We start from the raw sequence: 18,919 nt of genomic DNA, 5'->3' as shown, positions 1-18,919 counted from the left end.
TGTTCTTTTGCTCTTCACAATAAATCCTGCTGCTGCTCACTCTCTGGGTCCGTGCTACCTTTAAGAGCTGTAACACTCACCGTGAAGTCAGTGAGACCAAGAACCCACCTGAAGGAACCAACTCCAGACACAGGATTACAGGCCTGAGCCACCGTGCCCGACTTTGTTTTTTTTTAATTAAATAGGCAAGAATACAAAATAACAGAGTGCATTACAGGAGGTAAAGGTACTTACTGTGAAACTTTGGTTTTGGTTTCATGGGTAACTGGGCCATGGTATAAAATACATTTTTTTATCGTAGGGTCACAGTCAAAACATTTCAAAGGCCGTGGGTCTATGGTGTACAGTATAGTACGATTACAACAATGTAAAATACTGTGTGTGAGGCCAAGCCTGGGAGGAATAAACAGAAGCAAAGAGGAACTGATAAAGTTGGTAGAATAAAGGATGCTGCTTCTCAGTTATATGTTTTCTGTGATGTTTGTAGGTTGTTCTTACAATAAAACAAACCAAAAAAAAAAAAAAAAAGAAGTCAAGACACAAAGGAGAAATAACAATAGAGGGCCATTATCAGATTCCATTGGCCGAGAAGCTCAAGGCTCCAGCACCGGCCTTGAAGGATGGACAGACTTTGAATGGGGGGCGTGGCCTAAACAGGGACGGGGTTGTTGCTGAAACACAAAACACACTGAAAGAGAACATGGGGTTAAAAAAGGCTCTCAGTGATGCAAAGCGGCTTAAAACTGGGGAAGAAAGGGGCAGGTCTACTCCCGGGCTGTACATTCTGCCTCCCTGTACCGACTTTTCCACCCTCCACCCATCTAGGCTGAGGTCTCAAGCTAGAGGTTGCCCCTCATAAACATGTCCGCACCAAGCCGGCCGCGCCCCTCAACAAGATGGCGACGGCAGCAGCCCCACCTCCCGCTGACTCGGTGGCCAATGAGGGAGAAGCACGAAGACTTGAGCATGCGCACATAGCGACTTGGTGGGCGCGTCCAGTGATGACTGGGGGATCCCGGCAAGTAACATGACTAAAAAGAAGCGGGAGAATCTGGGCGTCGCTCTAGAGGTGAGGGGAAAAGTGGGGGTTGGGCCACCTCGTTAGTTGCCTTCTCCTGGCCGCGGGATAAGGGATAGGCTGGGCTATAGATAGGAGGAGGAGCCAAGCGTAGGATGAGAGGGCGACGCGGTTTGGGGAGAGGGACGGGAGGGGTGAGAAGGCCCACGGGGTTCCCGGAGGACAGGGAGCCCGAGGAGGTGCCGGATGGGCGAACCAGACTCTCTGGAGAGGGCATCTCCAGAGAGGAAGAGACATGGAAGTGAAGGGGAGCCCCAAAGACGGCCTGGCATAGAAGTGAGGGAACTCAAAGCGGGGGACACAGAACAAAAGGGATGGGTACAGAGGTGAGGGAGACCCCAGAGAAATAGGGACCTGTAGAATCTAAGGAGAACTCCCAAAGGGCTAGGACTCAAAGATGAGGGAGCCCATTCTGGTGTATATTATTAATGGTTTAAATATCCTCTAAAAGGGGAAATTTTTCCTCCGGAGTATGGAAGCTTGTACCTTCAAAATTACTTTGGGAATATGTAAAGAGAATTCTGGAATTGGTGATGTCACTGAATGGCTTAAAAATAATTTGCTGCATATAGAAGGGAAAGAAAACATACATACTGAGCAACCGCTATGTGCTACTTTCATTGCATTGTTAATCCTCACTGCAAGCCTGTGAGGTTTGTACAGATGAGGAAATTGAGGTTCCAGGTGGAACCCAGGCTGAGATGGTGGAAGTGGTGGAGCCTGGGAATCAAGCACAGGTGGTCTTCCTGGAAATTCATCTTGCTTCCCCTGTTTTCCTTCCCTTAGGGCATCCTCCCGGAGGTTGCAGGAGAGGTACAGGGTCATAGTCTTCTTCAGGCTTACTAGTGAGTTCAGTGATTCTCAAACTTTAGCATGCATAGAGTCACAGGGCTTGTTAAAAATGGAGAGTTGAACTCTTCCCACACCCCGAGTAATTCAGTAGGACTTTGATGTGCATTCTTAACAAGGAATCTGCTTTTTTTTTTTTAAGACAGAGTCTCGCTCTGTTGTCCAGGCTGAAGTGCAGTGGCGTGATCTCGGCTCACTGTAAACTCTGCCTTCTGGGTTCAAGCGATTCTCGTGCCTCAGCCTCCCGAGTAGCTGGGATTACAGGCACGTGCCACCATGCCTGGCTAATTTTTGTATTTTTGTAGAGACGGGGTTTCACCGTGTTGGCCAGGCTGGTCTTGAACTCTTGACCTCAAGTGATCTGCCCGCCCGCCTTAGCCTCCCAAAGTGCTGGGATTACAGGCATGAGCCACCACAGCCGGCCAGAATCTGCATTTTTTTTTTTTTTACAAGCCACACACACCCCATGGTGATGTGGGTAGTTTTAGTGGCATCCCTTGAGAAATATTGGCCCACTTGGTAGGAAAAAGGTTGATGGAAATGTGAAGAGGATGGTTTATGAGTGGTGACTGAGATGGTACTTTGTGGCGGGAAGAACATAGACTTTGTAACCTGCATTAGGGTACAATAAGCTGCAGTAACAGAGAAACTCCAAAACTCAGTGGCTTCAAGAACAAGAAAGTGAGTTTTTTTCTAACAGGCTAGAGCAAGGGGCAGGAGATGTCTGCAAATGGTCAGATAGTAACTATTTTAGAAGAGACATGGTCTCTTCTAGAGAGCCAAATGGTCTGGGTTGCAACTACAGTTGATCCTCATTATTCACAGATTCCACATTTGCGAATTTCCCTAATGGCTAAAATGTATTTGTAACCCCAAAATCAGTACTCACAGTGCTTTTGTGGCAAATGCAAAGCAGTGGGAAAAAAATTGAGTCGCTCGCAGTCCATGTTCTCAGCTAAAGTTGAACAGGTGATGATGCCCTGCCTTGTTTCAGCTGTCCTACTGTAAACAAGGGTCCTTATTGTGTTCTATTTAGTGCCCTGTTTTTGTTTTGTTTTGTTTTTTTCATTCTCATGTTTTTTATTGGTATTTCGCTGTGTTTTGCTTTTGAGACAGAATCTCACTCTCGCCCAGGCTGGAGTGTAGTGGTGCACTCTTGGCTCTGCAACCTCCACCTCCCATTCAAGTGTTCACCCCCACCTTCCCCCGACACAGCCTCTCTAGTAGCCAGGATTAGACCACCACCACATCCGGCTAATTTTTGTATTTTTGGTAAAGACGGGGGTCTTGCCATGTCGGCCAGGCTGGTCTCGAACTCCTGACCTTAGGTGATCTGCCCACCTCGGCCTCCCAAAGTGCTGGGATTAGAGGTGTGAGCCACTGCCTGATTTTGCTGTTTAAAGTGCCCCCGATCCCCGACCCCCGACCCCAAGCATAGGGCTGAAGTGCTGTCTGGCATTCCTAAATCCAAGAAGGCTGTGATGTGTTGTAGAAGAAAACAGGTTTTTTAGATAAACTGTTCAGGCATGATATAACTCATGATGTAACAGCACGTATAGTGCTGTTGGTTGTGAGTCCAGTGTTAATGAATCAACAATATATATTGAATAAGGTCACTTTAAACAGAATCACACATGAAACAAGGTTGCAAAAATGTTGTGTCCATAGGCTTGCAGGAACCTCACCTGGTTTGGTATTTGCTAATTCAATATTAGAGGCAACTTTATAGGACATAGCTACCAGGAACAACAAGAACCAACTGTATTCAGGCTAAGGTAGGAGTATGTAAATGAAGGAATATGTAAATAAGTGGGTGTGTCAGTGTTCCACTAAAGCTTTATCTGCAAGAACAGTCCTTAGACCATTTGGCCACAGGGCTTAGTTGCCAACTCCTGGTCTAGAGTACCAGGTCTATGGTGGTTCTGCCAGATTCCCTTCCTCTGTGGCTTCACCATCTCTTGAGATCTTGTCACCTTATCAGTGGAACCGGGGCATACCCCACTGATGTGTCCACCGGCAGAGAAAGAGGAGAATGGAGGAAGCACACCCACTGTCCTGGGCCCAAACTGTCCACTTTCCATTGGCAAGAACTAAAACCCCACCTGACTGCAAGGGATCAGGGAAATGCGTTCACCAGTCAGGAGGCCACATAGCCAGCTACTGTTTGCTTACTATGGAGGAAGAGACCAGTGTGTTTTCACAGACAGCCTGTAGTCTCACTACAGATGGCACCTCACCTCACAGTGTGGTTGTGAGGATTAAATGAGACATTGCGTTAAGTGCCCAGCACGTGCCTGGCACCGGATTGGTAATCAATACATGGTAGCTCCAGCCTTTGTATTTCTTTTGCATCCTTCCACCATGGCTAAGTCAAACTCGTTCTTGGGCATTCGTTCACTCATCTATAACATGAAGGACTTGAATTTCACCAGGGGTTACAAACTCCTTGACTATGGCCCAAATACAGATCACAGATGTCTTCTGTTTGGCTGACAGACTTTTAAGTTTTTATTTTATTTTATTTTATTTTTAGACAGGGTCTTGCTCTGTTGCCCAGGCTGTAGTGCAGCGGCATGATCTCAGCTCACTGCAGCCTCCAGCCTCCCGGGTTCAAGCAATTCTCGTGCCTTAGCCTCCCGAGAAGCTGAGACTACAGGCGTGCACCACCATGCCCAGCTAAGTTTTGTATTTTTAGTAGAGACGGGGTTTCACCATGTTGGCCAGCTGGTCTTGAACTCCTGACCTCAAGTGATCCGCCCGCCTCGGCCTCCCAAAGTGCTGGGATTACAGGCGTGAGCCACCACACTCGGCCGGATTTTTACGTTTTTAAACTTGGTGGGGCATGTATTCTCCAAGTGCCTTATACTGGGGCAGATTCCATTGTTTTACCCTCTCCATACCACGGTAGATGTTTATATTTGCTATCTTGGTCCCTAAGTTTACTTTTTGCTTGGATATTCGAAGATTTGACATCTGTAACCGTGTGCCTTGGAAAAAGCCTGACATCTGGCTGGCTGTCTCCCCACCTTGCTTCTCAGTTGCCCCCAGCGGGTCTGAGTATTGAATGTGCACTGATGCTCAGTAGCAGTAGATATTGTCCTCTTATTAAAAGTTGTGTGCTCAGAGCCAATGAAGTGGTGATTTAATCAAAAATGTTTGTTAATCTGACGAGTGCAATAAAACCCCCACAAGTGAGTGATCTCAGCACCTGCAAACAGTCTCCACTTGTAATGAAGCAATTACCAAGCAGGCAGCACTCACCCTTAGGGCTGGCTTGGGCCAGCTGTATAAGCAGCCACCTCTTAGGACAACCAGGGCACCCTCTAGCCTCCCCCTCAAAGTGGTTCCTTTTGAGGTCTTTTTATCCAATTCATTTGCCACCATATGAGATCTCAGAGTTGGAAAAAACTGTGAGTTTTAGCTTCTGAGATTTCATTCTTAATAAGAAAAGAAAATTATAGTTCAAATGAGAAATCACCCACCCAGTACTGATTTTAATGTTGTGTGGGAGGAAGGAAAGGTTGAATTTCAGTCTAAACTGATAGGAGAATTTTGACTGATGTAAAACCTGTTTGTGTTTTCGGATCTCTGATGGTAATGAGCTGTTCCTTTGTCATTGCACTTTTCTTTTGTAGCTGGACTGTTCAAACTGGTGTCTTTAGATGTTTCAGTGACCAGTTGGTCTTGAGTTAACAGATGTGTGGTGTCTTAGCCGGTATCCTAAAGTGGATAACTTGGTTGGATCTGACCCCTAGTACAGAAAGTTTATCAGTTTGGAAAGCTTTTGGCTACAAGTTATAGAAAACTGACCTCAATGATTTAAGCAAATGGGAGTAGACTTTTCCCCTTATAGAAATTTGTAGGGGCCAGGTGCAGTGGCTCACGCCTGTAATCCCAGTATTTTGGGAGGCTGAGGCAGGTGCATCATTTGAGGTCAGGAGTTCGAGACCAGCCTGACCAACATGGTGAAACACCATCTCTACTAAAAATACAAAAATTAGCCAGGAGTGGTGGTACACGCCTGTAATCCCAGCTACTCGGGAGGCTGAGGCAGGAGAATTGCTTGAACCCAGGAGGTGGAGGTTGCAGTGAGCCAAGATCGTGCCACTGCACTCCAGTCTGGGCAACAGAGACCCCGTCTCAAAAAAAAAAAAAAAATTTGTAGGTAGGTGGCTACTGGCATTGGTTCAAAAGCTTAGCTATGTCAGAGTTGGTATTTCTGCATTCTCTTCACTGTTTCCTCATGGTCACAATATAGCTGCCACAGCTCCAGTCTAATATTCAACTTTAACTCAGGAAGGAGGAGGAAGGAACAACACTGTCCCTTTTATCAACAAAGCATAAGCTTCCCCAGGAGTCTCCTAGCTGACTTCTGGAACGTCTCATTGGCCAGAACTGGGTCATGAGCAAGCCTAGCTGCAGTGAGGTTGGGAGAGCATCTGCTGAGCTTTTCCACCTTCTGGAGTAGAGGTGGGCAAAGGAGCAGGGGTGGGGAGTCGGTGTTGTGTTGGCCAGTTGACAGTATCTGCTGTAAGGAATAAATGCTAATGGGAGTCATTGAAAATTCACTGGAATCCTTACCAGAAAAAGAGGGCAGGATCGGCTGGGTGCGGTGGCTCACGCCTGTAATCCCAACACTTTGGGAGGCCCAGGCGGGCGGATCACCTGAGGTCACGAGTTCGAGACCAGCCTGACCAACGTGGAGAAACCCCATCTACTAAAAATACAAAATTAGCCAGGCATGGGGGTACATGCCTGTAATCCCAGCTACTCGGGAGGCTGAGGCAGGAGAATCGCTTGAACCTGGGAGGTGGAGGTTGCGGTGAGCCGAGATGGTGCCATCGCACTCTAGCCTGGGCAACAAGAGGGAAACTTCGTCTCAAAAAAAAAAAAAAAAAAAAAAAAAAGGCAGGATCACTGACCATGAGAAGTGGTAGGCTGAGGGGAGAGAATGGCCTAGGCCAGGAAGAGCACCGGAAGGCTTGACGCTTGTGGTTATTTGTATGGTGCCAGCCACTGCAGTAGCCTCCGTGGGGCAGGGCAGGCAGAAGCACCAAGTGTGGCTGAAGACGGTCTCCGCTCTGGAGCAGGCTGTGCACAGGGCTCAGGGGAACCTCCCACTTTCCTGAGACAAGGGCTAGGAGCAGGTGAGTGGACTGTCAATAAATATTTGCTGAACTGGCTCGATTGGCAGGAGGAGGCATTGAACCTTCCACCCTGACGTCTGGGCCCAGTTGAGTGGAGGTCACAGTAGAGCAGGCGGTTAGACGCCACCTTGCTGGGACCCTGAACCCCAAGCCAGGGGCTGGGAGAAAGGCTCGCAGCACGCAGAGGACTGTTCAGGGGCCGCTGACCATTAAATGAGCCTCACCTGCTGCCAGGCGAGAGCGACAGGTCGCCATTGGGCAGGTGATTTCTCGCGGCAGCCTACATCTGGCTCTGCGCCACTTGACGGGGGTCAGGAGACTAAAACCTCATTACCTAGCGCGGCTGGATGGCGGCGTGTGTGGAGTGGCTGTCTGCCAGCATCTTAATTAATGAATTCATAAGGCTCGGGGTGGATGCCAGTTCTTGAAAAGTGCTTTGAGCCTTTCAGCGATGAACAAGCTTTTGCTAGTTTATCAAAAAATAGATATCGGGGGGAAAGAAGACAAAACAAACCCCACACCACCTTCCGGCCCAGGGACAGCTGGCATCTTCGGGCGCGGACTGGCTCGGGCGCTAACTTGCAAGGCTGGCTCGGCCTCCGTCTCCTCGCGGGAAGGCGTCGGGACTCGCGTGGGCTGCAGCGGTTCCCTCGCCTTTCTGACCTGGCATGGGGGTGTGTCCAGGCGAGCGACAAGCCCCTAGGCTCTCCCTGCTCTTCCTGAAAATTGTTCATTGATTAAAAACTGGGAAGGTCTGCCGTCTTCAGCTGCACAACCTGCGAGAGAAATCCTTACAGGGCCTGTTGATGTGGGGAGCCATGGGCGGAGGTTTTTCTGCCCCCACAGAGCTCTGTGAGCCGCCTCCACAGAAAAACATCCCTTAAACGATGTGGGGATAATGGGCCCCTTGGGGTTTGAGGCTTGTCACCTGGAAAATTGAGGCCTAAGAACCCCGTGTGACTTGCTGTGGAGCCTGAAGGCTCCAAATGGAAAGCCCCTGCACTCTTGCCAGAGACCATCTGGGCAGGCACTTGGCTGCTTTACCCATTATAATAAATGTCCTGGGGTCTCCTGACGTGTGAAAATGAGTGAATTTTCAAAAATCCAGTTCCCAGGCTGCTGGGGCTGGAGATGAAACAGCTGACACCACTCTCCAGGCTGTGAATTAGCAAGTGAAAGGGAAGGCTTCGGTACTGCTGGGGAAAGAAGGGTTTATCAGGCCCAAGTAGCCCACCTTTTTCCGTCTCCAAACTGGATCTGTTTTGTGTGAATTTTGGAGGATGCTTTGACAGTCGAGGTGATCTGGGGCAAAATGCCTGGGATGTTTGTGAAGCTCATTGAGTTGGCCCAGTGTAAGGGCAGACGCTGGGCTCCTGTCTCCTCTGTCTCAACAAACAAATTTCAATGAGGGCTTTCCCTCACAGAGAGTATCTGTTATGTAGACAGAAACTGAGCAGAGCCTTGTACAAGATTATTCCGAGTAGAGAATCTGTTGAAGCCAGATCAGCAAGCTTAGATGGGCTTCAGCTGGGATGTGGAATGACTGTTCTGCAGAACTCTTGTCATGAATGTTTTCATGAGGGATTTTGGAGAAAGAGCTTGAAGTGGTGGAAAGAGCATAAGCCCTGAAGCAGAAAAACCCAGATTCAGGCTTCAATTCTGCCCCTTCCCAGTTACACGACCTTGGGCAAGGTGCTGAAAACCTCTGCAAGGGAGCTTGCACCTCTGTAAGATGGAGATGGGCCCTTCCTTGCAGGGCGGTTGCAGACACAGGAAGCTGCCCACAACCTGCCCAGCTCCAGGGGTAAGGTGTGGAGGTTGTGCCCAGGAGCTAGGAGTCCCTCAGAGCTGATGAGCGCTGCCTTCTCCATGTGGCATGGTGGTTAAGGGCACAGACGTGGCTGCCCAGCTCCCGGACTTAATGCCTGTGTGACCCTGGACAGTTACCTATGTCTGAGTCCCCTCATCTGTCAAATGTGGATGCTGATAATACTGCCCACCTCACAGGGTTCTTGCGAGCATTATGTGAGTTAATCGGTGTAAAGCATGTAGGTCAGTGCCTGGCACACAGCACAGACTACAGAAGTGTTGCTGCTGCTGTCACTGTTGTGGTTCCATTTTGCTGGGACTTTTGGTTTCCAGAGGCTGCTTACACTCATGCTGTCATGCAGACACTGGAGACTCTGTGACTTGGCTCGGCTCAGCTACCCTGGCACCACGCTCTTTATTGGAAGGTCTGAGTGCCCAGTAAGGACCTGTCCAGCCAGGTGCAGTGTATGCCCCATTACCACTGCCTGACCCTGTAGCAAACCTGTCACTCGCTGGCCAGAAGCTCCCAAGAGTAAAGCCGGAGAGACAGCAAACAGCTTCCTAAATCAGAAAGCAGAGTGGCCTGTGTAGCCCAGCACCAGGCCCCGGGGGTGCCTTCTGCCCTTTCCCAGAAACAGGTCTGGCCCTAGACAGTGGTTCATTAGGGAGTGGGCAGAGAGCCACCTCCCCGGCTGTCTAGATGCTCTGTGGGAACACCATTCAGTAGGAGAATAGAGTGAACGGTAGCCTGTGGCTCGAACTGTCTCGTGCTTGTTGGCAGAAAAGCTGCATATGAGGCCCCCAACAGCAGCTAGCCGTGGAGCTGGCACCCCATCAGCTGACCTGGCCAGGATGCTGGGGCAGTTATCTGTGCATGAGCTGGCACGAAATTCCCTGCCCCCAGTGAGGCCTCCGTGGGGCTCTGATTCTGAGAGGGCCTACACTCCTGAAAAGATGCCTCGCGGGGATTTCACACGAATTTTACAGTTTCTCTTAACACAGTGGTTTTATGGCATATAGGACCCCAGGGAGACTTCCTTAAAGCTCCCAGAATAAGGTGATATTCCCCAAGTCAGGCTGCAGAGGGGAGTTTGCTTATCTGCCTGGGGGCTGCTGAACTCCAGGCCCGGGTGCTTGGAGCTGCATCTGTCTGATGGGCTCTCAGGGAGGCTGCAGGAAGAGTCCCTGCCCCTGCCGCTGGGCATGAAGAAGCCCTTTCTGCTCTTGGCACCTGCCAGCAGGATTGACGGCCCTACTTGGCTAGGGCCTTGTCCCCAGCACCCCTCAGGCCTACAACACAGCCTCTGCAGCCTTGACTGCTGGGCTGACTTTAGATCTTCTCATTCTTCTGCACAGAACACCCCCTCTGTGGAGGGCCTTTGGTCTCATGGGTCTCCTCGCTGAGCTCACTCCTTCACCCAGCAGGCCTCAATTCCCTGCCCCAGGCTCTGATACTGAGAAGCAGCAGTTCTCAGTAATTTAGGCAGCATCACTACGGGGCTTTTCTGTTAAAAGAACGGACTTGTTGGGTCCCACTCCCTAAGGCCTCCCCTGGGGCCTTTCCCACCTGTCTACCTGAGGGATGCTCCTTCTCCATTCCCTGCCTCATATGCCTCTTTTTCCTTCCTCCTCCCCTCTTCCTTTGTGCTCTGTGTCTCCCCTGCCTAGGCAGACTCCCCAGCCATCCCCCCAGGCAGTTTTTAGCCACTGCTGGTCTCTGGGTAAAGAACAGACTTTCCCCAGGACACCCTTCACACTCTCCAACCTGTTCCTTGGGCCCCTGGACCGCTCACACAGGGCTTCACACAGCGCCTCCCCAGGGCTCAGGCTGGGCCAGATGCCAGGAAGCAGTGTGCTGGCTGACAGTGGGTTCATACCATCGCCTCTCTTACTTCCTGGGGTCCCCAAAGCCCCTGCAGATCGCAGCCCTGTGCCCCCTGCTGACTCATCTCAGTGACTGGGACACAGTGCTTTTTCCCCATGTAAAAATTGACCTTGGTTTTCTGAGTGTAAATATAATGCACGGGTGGTTCTTAATGTTATTGTACAGCAGGGGGCACCTGCTCTCTGCCCCCACACTGTGCCGTCTAGGTCTCTGCCTTGGCTGTCTCTACTTTGCCGGTCACAGTCACAGCCGTAAGTGCTGCCCCCTGATAGCTCCAGGCAAGTCCTGGCCCCTGAGCCAGGCATGCCTCTTCCTGCCAGCTGGCCCTACTATGCAGCCTGTCGGGCAGGAGTCCTGGGAGCCCCTGTGGCCTTCAGAGTATAACTTTCCCTTCCTACTGGGCTTGGTGGGATCCCTTCCACGGGGCCTCTTCAGGCTGCCTAGAACCATGGTGTGAGTGAGCCCTGGCTCTGGCTGCTGGGCCTCACCTGCTGTTCCACATTTCCTCAGATGCCCACTGATGCCCAGACCGCCCCCAGGCTGTTCCACCTTGGACATGGCTCCAGGCCTCTCACGCTAGGATTCTACCAGGTGCCATGTCTGCAACCTGGCCCTGGCTCCAGAGGCCCACCCCAGCTTTGTCCCAGGGAAGGATCGCAAGGTTCCCACCATGCCATGTCTGGAGTAAGCGGAGCGAGCTGGCCTGTGGCCTGTTGTTGTTCTGACATCTACCCTGGGGGCCCTCCCTGCTGAACCTCTTCATGGACTGGGAATGGCCACATCCAAGGTAGAGGGGCCCTCCTCCCTGCACTGCCAGTCAGCAACTCATGGAGATTCCTCTCCACCTCACACCCCTGCTGTTTTTTTTTGTTTGTTTGTTTGTTTTTGAGATAGAGTCTCGCTCTGTCACCCAGGCTGGAGTGCAGTGGTGCCATCTCGGCTCACTGCAGCCTCCACCCCCTGGGTTCAAGCAATTCTTCTGCCTCAGCCTCCTGAGTAGCTGGGACTACAGGCGTGCGCCACCACGCCTGGCTAATTTTTGTATTTTTAGTAGAGACAGAGTTTCACCATGTTGGCCAGGATGGTCTGGATCTCCTGACCTCGTGATCCGCCCACCTTGGTCTCCCAAGGTGCTGGAATTACAGGCGTGAGCCACCATGCCCAGCCACACCCCTGCTTCTATCACCTTCTCTTACTCTTGCCATGGACTAACCAGGTTTTCTTTTATTCTCCAAAGATCTAGTGCAAACCACTCTCTGATAATAAAGATAGCAAACACTTACTGAACTCTGACCATGTAAAGCATGTTCTGGGCATCTTACCTGTTGGCTCCATGTCATCCTCACAAAACTCTTTGAAATATGAAATGTGGTTATCTTTGTTTTACACGTGAGTCAACTGAGCACAGAACTAAGGGAGTTGCCCAGTCATACCACAAGTGAGTGACAGAGCCAGGGGCACTGATTATAGCCCATGCTCCTTACCACTCACTTACCTGGAACCACCATTCCAGGCTTCTGGGCACTTGAGCTCCCAACTGCTTGCCCAGTTCTGGCCCTTACACTTCTAGAATCTTCTTGACATTTGTCTCCTTATCTGGTCCTAATCCCCACATCTTCTCTCCTGGTCCTGGCTGTCTTGTCTTCCGTTGCCTTTAGCCTGGTGGTGGCAAGGAGAGAGCTAACCAACGACTGCACATTTGCCTCGGGTCGTCTGCAAAGTGCATAATCCGTGTGCATGTAGTTGAGAGCTGGCTGAAAATCCAAGTCGGGACTTCCTTTAAGACCCACTTTCTGGGTCCTCTCCCACCTTTCAGGCCCATCCTGCTGTGTCAGCTCTGCTCTGTAGCCACCACTCCTGACCCCAGCCACAACTAAAAGAGGCATCTGGACCTACCTTCCCTCCCTGCCTCTGCAGCCAGGTCCCCTGGAGTCTCTCCACTCATGTTGACAGCTGGCTCCTGCTTCAGCAAATGCTGCAGGGTGTTTGATTGTCAGCTTCCCGAACCAGGCCCAGTGCTGGGGACCCCGCAGGGTCACCTTCTGAGGATGGGTTTGTGGCCTCTGAAGAGCCTCTTGACAGTCTTAGCCTCCCCTCACTCAGCCCACATCAAGCAGCTGGGTTATAAAGAAGGGGAACTTGCTATTTAGAAGGGAATCAGCGAGAGCTGTCAGCAGGACATAAATATTCATAGAGGGAGGTTAGAACTTGAGTCCCTAAAACCTTGATTTGTGTTCGACCGTTTAAGCCTCATTAAAAAGTGGCAAATGAAAGTGGGAATATTCAGTGGAACTGCAGATAAATTGGGCTTGTTCAGATAAAGGCCCCCGACTGCCAGCTCCGCAGGCTCTGCCCAGAGCATGATAGCAGATTGGCTTGGCCACTTGTGGTTTGCCAACCTCAAAATTTTAAGATTTTGCTTAGCATGAGTTCCTGGCCTTGCTCTGGGGGCAATTACCACTTGTTTGGGCACTTGGTAGCCTTCCAGAGGTGTTCAGGGATGGAATTCCGCAATCTGCTCCCTCCCCAGAATGACACGCAAACCAAGGCCTGGCTCAAGGACTGTTAAGGAGAAATCTCACCTAGGACTAAGACTTGCACTGGGCAATCTGCAAAGCGTACAATTTATGTGCATGTCTAGTTGCTTCTCCTCCTCCTAGCTTTTTCTAGCTTCTATGGACAAGAAGAACGGAGGTTTCAGGCTCCAGTTGCTACGTGAGACCTAAACCGTCTGTCCTTGCCCCTCAGTCCCACCCAAGCTCAACTCCACTCATTGTGGCTAAAAATACAAAGACTGCAGCAGGCTAGGCCTTGGTGGGCACAAAGAGGAGACAGATGGTCACTGTTCCTTCTAGGACAGGAGCTTTAGACTCGGGCCTCTGCCGGGACCAGGCAGTTCACATATATAAGTGGAATGGGCCAATCTGTGGGCTAGACCTGACCTACGGGCTGCCAGTTGGCACCATTTAGAGACCCCTAGAGTTTGGGAAGATAAAGTTTGGACACAAACAGAAGGGCAACAAAGAATATACTCAGCCTCATGAAGGAAGGACTGGTTAATTTCCCAGGAGAAGGAGGGTGGAATGCACCCCGTCCCCTGCCCCCCAACCCCCACCCCCCTGCCACAGCCAAGGGCAGCAGGGAAGCCTGGTGGAGGAGGTAGGGCATCAAGAATTAAGCTTTATTTGTGCTCTTGAGTGGAATCTGAGTCTCAGGGTACTGAGGGGCTGGGCTGTGTGCTGGGGGTGCTGCTGTAAAGGGGAGGCCACATGGTGGCCTGAGGCACTGGGCATGGGGCTGCCGCTCTTCCCTGAATCTGGCTTCCCAGTGTTCATTTCCATGCTGCACAGGTTCTAGGTAGGCCTTTGGCCTCCCCAGGGACAGCCCCATCTCCTGGCTGGGTCTGTTTCCCAGGACAGCCCTCCTTTTGGGTGCCCAGTAGCAGAGAAACGACACAATTAACCAGGCAATTAACTCAAGGCTCTGTGGTCGCTCTCTCCCACAGGGCCCTGCTTATGGGGCTGGAGGTGGCCATGGTGGGGCTGCAGGGCAGGGGGTGGATGGTGTGTCATTGCCAGGCCTCCCTCGGGAAGAAGGAAAAGTGGCTGACATGGAAGTGGCTGAGATGGGTGTTGGCCGTGGAGAGAGACAGAAGGCCCAGAGACTTGGAATGCAACTCTCCTGACACTCAGCCCCAGAATGCCTGCTACCCTCTAACCAGCCATTGTGGGAGGCAGGGATCTTACCTGCAGTCATTGATTACTAACCCTGCAGGGGCTAACTCCAGAAGCGAATGGGGCAGAGAACTGGCTGAGACTGATAAGGAGAGGGGTGCCCCACCCTGACTTCTCAGAAAGTCATTCCATTTGGGGGACCCCCATTCTTCCATTCGTGAAATGGAGGTCTTATTTGCCATGTCTCCTAGGGAAGTGGTGAGAATGAGTGAAGTCAGAGATGGGAAATGGAGCATTATGGGGCTCCGAGGTACTATTCAGTCAGCTGCTGGGAGGGTCACAGAGCCCCCTGAACCCTTCCACCCACTGACACCCAGGCTCGCCCCAGCCAGAGAGGTGGCCAGCTAAACACCTGGAGACTGAGTCAGACACAGGGAGATGGACTTTCAATGCCAAAACCCAGGTTTGGACAACCCAGTCCAGTATGTTATTAAACATTTCTCCACAACTCAAGTATTTCCCCAAGAACACTTCTCTGAAACTCTAATCAAACAAATGGAAAAAACAGATACCTTAACTATTTTGCTACCTTGATGGTAGGTAAAGTTTTTGCTTAAGAACCAAGTCAGAGAGGAAGAAAGGTGTTTTTGAGCATTTTTCTCAGTAATTTTTGATTCTCACAGAAAAATGTATATTTTTACAACTTGGACTACTAAGTTATTAAGATGAAGTATGTCAATGAGAAAAACACCTCTGTGTTGCCCCTAGATGTCTAATCACCCGGCCCCACACGTGTGGAGTGTTTGGAAGCCAGTTTCTTCACAGCATCTCCGCCACTCTAGGATACGCCCGTGGGGCAGGTGCATGCCGTGTTCAGGGTTCTGGTTGCTCCTGTTGTGCGCCCAACTGGGGCATCGTGCTGGGGAGACAACAGACCAAGGGGCTGCTCCTCTCCACCCCCAACCTGTGCTTGGCCCAGAGGGCTGGGACAGCTGTGAGACCCTGGGCAACACCCACTACTGTTTACAGTGTGGCTCAGGCCACTGTCCTGTGCAGTTCAGAGCTGAACCACGTGGAGGCAGAGGACAGCAAAACAAAGACACTCCAGGGAAGACAGGCCTGGGTGCCCTGCCCTGCCAAAACGAATGGGGGGAACACCTGTCCAAGAAGACTCCCGGAGGCCCTGCTTCCCAGTCCCAGTGTTTTGAGAGCTAGAAGCCTCGGCAGCCCACCTCTCTGTGGCCTTTGTTTCAGATCGATGGGCTAGAGGAGAAGCTGTCCCAGTGTCGGAGAGACCTGGAGGCCGTGAACTCCAGACTCCACAGCCGGGAGCTGAGCCCAGAGGCCAGGTAATGCTCCTGCCCAGCCACCCCACCCTTCCCCATCAGGCCCCCACCCCCTGTATCTATCCTGGGTCCCCCAAAGTAGGCCTGAGGCAGAGGGTTTGGGTCCCTGACATCTTAGCTTCAGTGCACACCCCCCCTGCCGCCGAACAAGACCCAAGCCCTGCCAACTGGCATGCCAGCTGCCCCTCGGGTGGGGAAAAGGAAAAGGGTTTGGTCCATGAAGCTCCTTTCCCCTCACAGGAGGTCCCTGGAGAAGGAGAAAAACAGCCTAATGAACAAAGCCTCCAACTACGGTAAGAAAGTTCCTTTCAGTTACCAGCCCCAGCCTCCAGTCCCCAGAACCAGGAAGGGTCAGAAGCCCAAGGGGCCTGACAAGGCAGCAGGGAGCAAGGGGGTTCTTTGGGAGGGAACCAGCCCCCAGAGGCTGCAGACACCCCTGCTAGGTCCAGCAGCCTGCGGGAGAGCAGGTTTGTTGCTTTGTTCTAAGGGAGGATGAGACCGCCTGTGGGTCTGTCTGCTCTTTGGGATGAAGGGATGTGGCCGTGGCCAGGTCTAGGAGACAATCATTCACCTAGACATCGGAAGTCTGCTCTCCCCACGCCCCAGCCCACCCCACCCCAACCCACCACACCCTCCCAGGAAAACCATGCAGTGGGAAGTGAGGGGTGAAGGAAGCCGAACCTCCCACTTGGGTACGGCAAGGGCTCCTGTGGGTGGAGCGATGCCGCCACCTTCTGGGCGCTGGGGGCAGAGGCAGGTAGAGGCCAGGCCCGGCGGGGCGCCAGAGGGCGGCTGGCAGGCTGGTGGGCTCCCTGCTAAAGGCTGGGGAGGACCACGGTCTATAGGTGCTCCTCAGACTTGTCGGTTCTGTTCTCCCCTGGGGGACCAGGCCTGGCCATGAATCAGCCCCAGGAAGGTTCTAATGGCAAGGAGTCCCCCAGAAGCGCTGGTCTGATGAATGCCGTAGGCACAGTGCACACCTACCAGCCCTGCCTGGAGTTCAGCATGTCTGGGCCGGTGCACCCTGGGCCCTGGACTCAGTCTGGCCTGCCCAGAGCAGCTCTGCAGGTGTCTCTTCCCACTGCCCAGCACAGACAGGGATGGGACATTAGTTTCCCTTCAAGTTTAGCGGTTTTCACACAAAACCACACCACCACTCAATTTAGCCCTCACAGAGTACCCCCTACCTGCGTGTCACCTGGAGGGGATACTTTGATACAAGTGTGGCCATAGAGCAGCAGGACTGATTTCCTCTAGAGTCAAGACCAGCTGCCTCATGGACACAAACTGCATCTTAGCGTCCCTAGATTCTGCTCAACCAGGCACCCGGCAGAGGGCAGGGACTCAGGAAACACGTGGCCCCACCTAGCACCTCCTCCACTGTCAGGCCCAAGGAGGCCCCAGGTGCCCTCAGTTTCTGGTTGGCGGATGAGATGCCTTGAAGGATGAGCACCACAGCCAACCCCATGACAGGCAAGCAGACTCACCTGGCGGTCACACCACCTCCTAGCTTGGCTTTCAGGTGTGGCATTTTTGGTGACTCCTCACCCACCTCACCCTCAACCTCAACCACATTTAAAGAGCCATAGTTGAGCAGCACTGGGCGTTGGGACTTTATCAGGCTGGCTCTATAGCCAAAAGGGTGTCAGGATTTGGGCAGATTAAGAAGGGCAGAGTCATTTTTATGGGTAAGGAGGTGGCTGGAAGGGTGCGTCTTTGCCCTCAGCAGTGTGTACCCACTCGTTGGAGAGGCAGAGCAGAACAGACGGGCCTAAACTGCCTGTCCTATCCCTATCACCCTCTTTCCTCCCAGAGAAGGAACTGAAGTTTCTTCGGCAAGAGAACCGGAAGAACATGCTGCTCTCTGTGGCCATCTTTATCCTCCTGACGCTCGTCTATGCCTACTGGACCATGTGAGCCTGGCACTTCCCCACAACCAGCACAGGCTTCCACTTGGCCCCTTGATCAGGATCAAGCAGGCACTTCAAGCCTCAATAGGACCAAGGTGCTGGGGTGTTCCCCTCCCAACCTAGTGTTCAAGCATGGCTTCCTGGCGGCCCAGGCCTTGCCTCCCTGGCCTGCTGGGGGGTTCCGGGTCTCCAGAAGGACATGGTGCTGGTCCCTCCCTTAGCCCAAGGGAGAGGCAATAAAGAACACAAAGCTGTTCCCGTCTGCTGAGTAAATGTCATGGTCTGACTAGCGGAGGGTGGACGGTGGGGGCAGGAAGAGGCAGCAGCAGCAGAGGCGGCACTCAGGAATCAAGGAAGAAGAGATGTTCAAGGGAAAGCTCTGGATTACAATTCAGAATAGAGGAGAAGGCCCCCAGCTCGAGTGGGAAGGAGACAGTGGGAAGCACTTTCCAAGCCAAATAGTGGGAGTTACTTCCAGGGCTCGGGCACTGCTGGGGTTGAGCAGCAGACATTGTGCCACCTGTCCATCCCCCCACCACACACTGTCATGCCCTCCAGTCAGTGCCATTGCTTGTAATTATGGCAGAAAAAAATGCAGTCTGTGCAGCGAAGGGCGGCTTGGGGACTTGAAGTGGTCATGTGGCGATCCCAGGGGAGTGCGGAGTTAATCCATCTTCGACAGGCAGGCAAGGCTGGGGAGGCTGTGAGTGGGCAGGAAGAGTCATGGTAATGACCAGACAGACTTACGGTGACAGTGGCCAGTAAATCAGGTAGGGTTTGTAGTGAGAAGTAGGGGTGGGGCTGATCAGAGGGGGAGTTGTGGCAGGAGCAGCAAACTCAGACATCTCCCTTACCCTTCCACCCCCCAACTCTAAAACTCCTAGCTTTGGAATAAGGAGGGGAGCAGGTGGGAGGCTACAGCAAGGCAGAACAGAGGAAGGGCGTGGATGGCCGAGATGAAACCAGTTAAGTAGGAAAAACAAGGGATGGGGTTGCCCAGGGAACTAAGGCCATACACAAAGGACTCTTGGGGCCAAAGTGAGGAAGTCCAGCAAAGTGAAGGCGGACTTTGGGGGGCAACCAGCACCAGGGCGATGACTAACTGGTGGAGAAACCAGCCGGGAACAGAGAGGGAGGTGCCTGCAGCATCTGCATCCCCCACCCCCAAGCACAGTCCCGTGCAGGCAGAACCAGCCCTCCTTGGAGGGGAGGCAGGCTAGG

At 52.2% G+C, this 18,919-nt stretch overlaps 1 protein-coding gene across 1 annotated transcript, besides 3 other annotated features; it reads left to right on the top strand.

Annotated features, from left to right (window-relative positions):
• Positions 806–1,005: an enhancer, noted in NCBI's record as "active region_24460". NCBI's record gives its function as "activates an Ori minimal core promoter by ATAC-STARR-seq in GM12878 lymphoblastoid cells {active_cell/tissue: GM12878}" and the evidence as "EXISTENCE:reporter gene assay evidence [ECO:0000049][PMID:35858748]".
• On the top strand, positions 998–17,953 carry CCDC167 (coiled-coil domain containing 167). Its single transcript, NM_138493.3, has 4 exons — positions 998–1,069; positions 15,697–15,791; positions 16,029–16,081; positions 17,602–17,953. The coding sequence occupies exons 1-4, from the start codon at positions 1,028–1,030 to the stop codon at positions 17,703–17,705; spliced, it is 294 nt and encodes a 97-aa protein (NP_612502.1). The 5' UTR covers positions 998–1,027; the 3' UTR covers positions 17,706–17,953.
• Positions 10,857–10,916: an enhancer, noted in NCBI's record as "active region_24459". NCBI's record gives its function as "activates an Ori minimal core promoter by ATAC-STARR-seq in GM12878 lymphoblastoid cells {active_cell/tissue: GM12878}" and the evidence as "EXISTENCE:reporter gene assay evidence [ECO:0000049][PMID:35858748]".
• Positions 10,923–11,768: an enhancer, noted in NCBI's record as "H3K27ac-H3K4me1 hESC enhancer chr6:37456899-37457744 (GRCh37/hg19 assembly coordinates)". NCBI's record gives its function as "activates a minimal SCP1, AML or CMV promoter by ChIP-STARR-seq in naive H9 embryonic stem cells {active_cell/tissue: H9 hESC(naive)}" and the evidence as "EXISTENCE:reporter gene assay evidence [ECO:0000049][PMID:30033119]".
• Positions 17,954–18,919: the final 966 nt, after the last annotated feature.

The sequence above is a fragment of the Homo sapiens genome, chromosome 6 (genome assembly GCF_000001405.40).
Source record: "Homo sapiens chromosome 6, GRCh38.p14 Primary Assembly".
NCBI lineage: Eukaryota > Metazoa > Chordata > Mammalia > Primates > Hominidae > Homo > Homo sapiens.
This window is presented reverse-complemented; position numbering and strand designations above follow the sequence as displayed.